Source organism: Homo sapiens, chromosome 1, assembly GCF_000001405.40.
Source record: "Homo sapiens chromosome 1, GRCh38.p14 Primary Assembly".
Lineage (NCBI taxonomy): Eukaryota > Metazoa > Chordata > Mammalia > Primates > Hominidae > Homo > Homo sapiens.
Genome location: NC_000001.11, coordinates 173,121,269 through 173,127,657, shown reverse-complemented (window position 1 = coordinate 173,127,657; position 6,389 = coordinate 173,121,269). Strand labels below are relative to the sequence as shown.

General features: G+C 40.5%; 2 annotated features.

Moving 5' to 3' along the window:
- Window positions 4,094-4,388: a silencer, noted in NCBI's record as "tiled region #615; HepG2 Repressive non-DNase unmatched - State 5:Enh". NCBI's record gives its function as "represses a minimal TATA promoter and a strong SV40 promoter by Sharpr-MPRA in HepG2 cells {active_cell/tissue: HepG2}" and the evidence as "EXISTENCE:reporter gene assay evidence [ECO:0000049][PMID:27701403]".
- Window positions 4,415-4,980: an enhancer, noted in NCBI's record as "H3K27ac hESC enhancer chr1:173091817-173092382 (GRCh37/hg19 assembly coordinates)". NCBI's record gives its function as "activates a minimal SCP1, AML or CMV promoter by ChIP-STARR-seq in naive H9 embryonic stem cells {active_cell/tissue: H9 hESC(naive)}" and the evidence as "EXISTENCE:reporter gene assay evidence [ECO:0000049][PMID:30033119]".

The following is a 6,389-nucleotide window of genomic DNA, read 5'->3' as shown; positions in this document are numbered from 1 at the left end:
CCAGGTTAATAGCAAACCAGAATCTATGGTTTCTAGGGTGTGATTCCGAAGGTCCCTTAGATAGGAATTTGGGCAAAAGACAAAAGGTCAAAGTTCAGTCCTCAATGCATATCGCAGGAAGGAAGACTAACGTCTGTTAAAAAACCTGTACAGACTTTTGTCACAAACCATTGCCTGCTCTGCAGGCCTAATAGACTTTGTCCTAGACCATTGTATGTTCTGCAAGTCCACTGAATTCTGCCTAGTAATTACTTATTGTTCTTCAACAGAATTCCTCTTCTCCCTGTCCCATACCTAGTTTGCCAGGATCCATGCCTCTATTCTTTCTGTAACCTCAAGATGGTATATAAGCTTCTGCATTAGGAAGTTGGGACTTCATTCTGAAGGCTCCTGCGTCATGCAAAGCTATGATCAAATAAATTTGTATGCTTTTTCTCCTATTAATCTGCCTTTTATGAGTTGATTTTTTAGCGAACTTTCTGAGGTTGAACGGGAAACTTTCCCTTTACCTATATAGCAACTATTTAAATTTGTGATGAAAAATTGAAATGTCAACTTATAAATATGCAAATCAATATAAACAGCTCTCACTTTGCTCAGTAGTGTGGCGTCATAAAAATAACTGTGCAAGCGAAAAATGTGCAATCTCAATAATCAATGGGAAGAATCACAATTGTTAACATGACCGCTAAAAATTTTGGTCAAAACATTAAAAACTCTCTTACTCTCGGTTATAAATGTATAAAACTAATACTTAGTATACTGCAACTTAAACACTAGAACATTCAGAATTTAAAACACTGAGAAGTAGAAAACTTATCAAGTGTAGCTTGAACAGTATTTGCCCTCTTATAAAACAGTGAACATCTTTTCCTTGTCTTGGTGATGTGAACCATATATAAAATCTTAAGCACATCCAACCGACTGAATGGATTCCTCCTCTAGAAGGGAAATCAACCAAAGTAAACCTCAGAAACTAGTTCTGGCCATGATGGGAAGGGGGAGTCAGACATTTCTCATTGTACTCTCCTCCCTTTGCAATTCAGGCACAGCTGACTGCATTCGTATTACAACACATCTTAAGACTGACAAAACAGACTCTTTGTAGCAATAAGACACCAAATTCCTACCTGATTCTAGTATAGCATCACATAACAGCAGGACCTAAAATAAATGAAAGTATTTTATCCCAAAATATATTTCTTTGACATATTTTGAAATGGCCCTGGAAAGCTGTCTCTTGTGGGGAAAATCTACATTTTGTAGAGAATCCCCTTTCCTTTTCCAGGTCTTTTCCTGATCCAGGAGATATTAATTAAGAGTCTGGCACCTTTTTAAGTCTGATTAGAGACATTTACTGGACATTTACTGGAGGTTTCATCTGCATGATAAAACCTTGGTCTGCAAAACATCTTATTTTAACCCAGACATTCTTTTCTATTGATTCTAGGTCTTTAGATAATAACAACTCTTTCAGCCAGTTGCCAATCAGAAAATCTTCAACTCTATGTATGACCTGGAGTGTGCCCCCACTGCCCGCTCCCTGCCAGCCCTTTGAGTTGTTCCACCTTTTCAGACAGAACCAATGTACACCATCCATGTATTGGTTGATTTCTGCCTTTAACTTCTATCACCTTAAATTTTATAAAACCAAACTGTAACACAACCACCTTGGTTCTCAGGACCTCCTGGGGCTGTGTCACAGGACTTGGTCGCTCATATTTGGCTCAGAATAAACCTTTTTAAATATTTTACAGAGTTTGATTTTTTTTTTTTGGTCAACAGTGAATTGTCATACTCCTTTTTAAGTTTGTATCTGTTTCCAACATCTTATCCTGTGTGCTTTCCATGTTGTGAAATATCTCTGAGAGTTCTCTTCATGTGAAGTTTTTTTTTTGACTGCAACATTTCCTTTGGGACATCATCCTCTCTGTCGGGACTACTTTTTCATTTCTGTTAGTAAGTTTGCTACAAATTTTTCCCAATTCTTTTAAAAGGTATTGAAGTAAAAGGTACTATTTAAAAGGTATTGAAATGTTAACATCTATTATTATTATTGAAAGGTAAAAGGTATTATTTAAAAATATTGAAGTAAAGAAAGGAGGGATTAAAGATTTAGTTCAGGTGGCCCATAGAGATGCTTGATTTGTGAGGTTGTTTCATTTAGACCCTTTTATTTTATACCTAGGAAAATAAGGCTTGCTCTATCTCACACAGTTAGTTAATGTTGGAGTCTGGTCAGAAGGTAGGTATCTGCAGGTGGTTTGGTATATTATGGTATATTATTCTGTCATAATAAAGTAAATCTTCTGGTAGAGGCTCTTCCATCAGCCGGAAGAAAAAAAATCATTGGCTGTCAGAGTAGACAGGGTTGATGTCATTTGATATAAGATATGGATGGTAACATGGGCCTTCAAGGTAATGTTCTTGAAGGATAGGCTGAATTTGAGGTAATGTAGATGAAGGGGAGTGGGTAGTGGTTGAGGTCCTGTAGGGTCAGAATGATATGGATGTTAAGGGCAGAGTAAGGGGAAGAGCGTGGCTGTCACGGGGGTCAGGGTTGGCAATGCAGCATGGAGTCAACAATGTTTGTGATCTTCCCAAGGAGGGCATCCAGGTTGAGATCTCATTATGTAGAAGAAAGCATATTGGAAAATGAGGGAGGAATTAGGGCAGTACAGGAAAATGAGATAATAGACTGTCGAATACCTTAAATTCTATTTAATTCACAATATGTAAGGCACCGGAGTGTTGTAAGTGTCAAGGGGTGCAGCATCAGCAGAATAAAAGAAGTCAGGATTGTCACATGCGTCCGTGTGAACAGACCACCAATCAGGCTTTGTGTGAGCAACAAGCCTGTTTATTTCACCTGGGTGCAGGCGGGCTGAGTCCGAAAAGAGAGTCAGTGAAGGGAGATGGGGTGGGGTCGTTTTATAGGATTTTGGCGGGTAGTGGAAAATTACAGTCAAAGGGGGTTTTTCTCTTGCGGGCAGGGGTGGGAGTCACAAGGTGCTCAGTTGGGGAGCTTCTGAGCCAGAAGGAATTTCACAAGGTTAATCTCTCAGTTAAGGTGGTGCAGGAACAAATCCCAATGGTGGAATGTCATCAGTTAAGGCAGTAACCTGCCATTTTCACTTTTGTGATTCTTCACTTGTTTCAGGCCATCTGGATGTATACTTGCAGGTCACAGGGGATATGTTGGCTTAGCTTGGGCCCAGAGGCCTGACATTCCTGTCTTTTTATATCAATAAGAAAAATAACATAAAATAGTATTGAAGAGTTGGGGCAGTGAAAATTTTTCGGGGGTTGTATGGAGAGATAATGGGCAATATTTCTCAGGGCTGCTTCGAGCAGGATTAGGGGCGGCGTGGGAACCTAGAGTGGGAGATATTAAGCTGAAGAAGATTTTGTGGTAAGGGGCGATATTGTGGGGTTGTTAGAAGGAGCATTTGTCGTATGGAATGATTAGTGATGGCCTGGATGCGGTTTTGTATGAATTGAAAAACTAAATGGAAGACACAAGGTCCGAATAAGAGAAGGAGAAAAACAGGTATTAAAGAACTAAGAATCGGGAGGGCCCAGAACATCTAATTAGAGAGTGCCCAAGGGGGTTCAGCATAATTACTTGCTTGGTTGGCGAGTTTTTTGGCTCTATCCTTGAGTTCTTTTGTTGTTGTTGTCATATACCAGGCCAGATTGATTTAGGTAAAAACAACACTCTTCATTTAAAAATTATACAGAGTCCTCTTTTTTAGCAGTAAGTAGAGGCCTCGGCGATTTTGGAGGAAAGAGAAATGCAAAGCCAGCAATTGTTTGTTAACAAGGAATTGCTTAACGGAATGATATCTGGGGGAGGCAGGGAAATGAGTGAGGGCGTAGGAATCCTGGGGACCAAGAAGCAGCAAAAGTTCTTAGGGTGCTCTGAGTTTCTGAGAAGGAAGTGGTGGAGAGAGAGGCCAAGAGCCAGCCTCTGACAATTCTAAACATTGCCCGTAGTCACAGATGCTCAGTTTATAGACTCAGAATGAGTGTAGTCTTTCAGTGCCTTGACAACCCTTCCCCAGCAGGGACATGTCAGGTTCAAAGTCCGGAGGTCACCTGAGTACTTAATTCCGAGTCCATTTACTCTAGGCCTCTCAGTCTCTGCTGAAGCAGGAACCAGCCCTGATCTCCTTATTTGGGTATTAAGGAGCTGGGAGCTCATCGGACCACTAGAGAACAGGCAGTTCGGGGAATTAAAGGCAGATTAACAAAGGTTTGAGAGTGGAACTGGGCTCCCTGAATGCCAAAAGGAGGAAGCTGTCTACGCCTTCTGAGCCCAAGGCTTTTTTGCTTCCTTTGCTTGGCTTATCCAGCAAGTAGCTGCAGTGTCCCAGGAATGTGCTAAGTAAAGGAAGCATATGGTTGGTTTCACTTTTAAAATTAATTGCAACCTAGAGAAACTGGCAGAGATAGTATCCCTCCGGGGCTTCCGCTTCTCTGTGATGCAACTGGGGCCTGGAGGGTGCAGCTATGATGCAAATAGCTTGGGCCAGCACCAGAGTAATCTCTAGTGGGTGGAACTGTCAGAGGGGATTTTCTTTCTGTTAGGAAAAAAAATTGCATTCTTGCCCAGTGGTAAGAGGAAGAAGCTCCCGCATTTGCTCAATGAATGGAGACACAGCTGCAGAGCAGGAAATCTGAGTTCTGGTTCACTCGACCTGCCTGATTGTAAAGAGTAGTTGATTTTTTTTTTTGGTCCCTGTAGAAGGGTCTTTCTCTTGGCCACTTTAAGCAAGGAATAAAATGGCTTGTTCTCTTCAAGGGAGGAAATCGATCCTCCAGATCTGGGCCAGCACATTTACTTCACACAGCATATTTCTGACCCACCCACAAAATTTGGAAGTTTGTAGTTAGAGAAAGTAGAAGGCTGTCCAGATGAAATAAATGTCCTTCTGCGTCAAAACAGAACTGCTGACTTGACAGACATGTGCTTTGCAAGACCATTTCCAGGAGTGATGACAGAGTTATGATGGCCCACAGAACCTTGTACTTTCATTTACATAATTTGTAAGTTACATCCTGCCTTTTCCTAAAAGGAAAGATTTATGGTGCTTTACAAAAACAAACAAAATGAGCAACCTGGTGATTACAGTAGAAATGGAAGTTCTAAGATAGGAAGATGGAAATATTTAATTAGTAAATATGCCAAAAGGGAAACCAATATTATTACTGTGAATTGCATGTTCAAATAGTGAAAAGAAAGCAGCTCAAGTAGCCAAGTAGCCAAATAATAAAAAAAAAGAAGAAAAGAGGAAAGAGAGGGACCTATACTTATATAATATCTAGCATTACACTATCATTACACTAGGCACTTTTGTAGCTTTCCTTTAGTCCTTAGAACAGCCCTATGAGGGAGTTATTATTGTTGTTCCTACTTTATAAACAATAACAGAGAGTTTAAATATAGTAGCCCAAGATTGTATGACTAGTAGTTGGGACTAGGATACAGCTTTTTATTTTCATGCCTAATGGGGATCCAAGAAGATAGATAGTCTCAGTGGAGTTAAGAGTGTGGGTTCTGGAGAAACAGATGTATGGGCTCAAATCCTGGCTCCAACAAGTACTAGATGGATGCCTTCTGGAACATTATTTAACTACTCCACGCCCCATCTCTGAAATGGGGATAATGAGGATTACATGTGATAATCTATATAAAGCAAGTAGAATAATACTTGGAACACAGTAAATGCTCACAAAGTATTAATAATTGTTATACAGAAACTGTGGGAGTGGGTTGGCCAACAACTGTTGTGGTTTGTATTTTTTTTCTTCCTGGGTATCTTTTAAAGATAAAATTGAAACAGTGTCTGTCTATCACTCCTCTATCATAATTATTTGTACATTTATGGCAGCATATTCTTTGGTTGGCTCTTCCTATGGCAATACATTGTAATATTCTCCATAGAAAATAGAAAGATAATTCAATATTTAACCTAGCATGGCTGATCAAAATTTGTTTTTTTATGGATGACAGACGGAAAATTTTTCTTTCATCTTCAGCACTATTTATTTATTTATTTATTTATTTATTTATTTATTTATTTATTTTTTGAGACGGAGTCTCGCTCTGTTGACCAGGCTGGAGTGTAGTGGCGCCACCTCTGCTCACTGCAAGCTCCGCCTCCCGTGTTCACGCCCTTGTCCCGCCTCAGCCTCCCGAGTAGCTGGGAGTACAGGCGCCCGCAACCATGCCCGGCTAATTTTTTTTTGTGTTTTTAGTAGAGACGGGGTTTCATCCTGTTAGCTAGGATGTTCTCGGTCTCCTGACCTCGTGATCTGCCCGCTTCGGCCTCTCAAAGTGCTGGGATTACAGGCGTGAGCCACCGCGTGTGGCCTCAGCACTCATT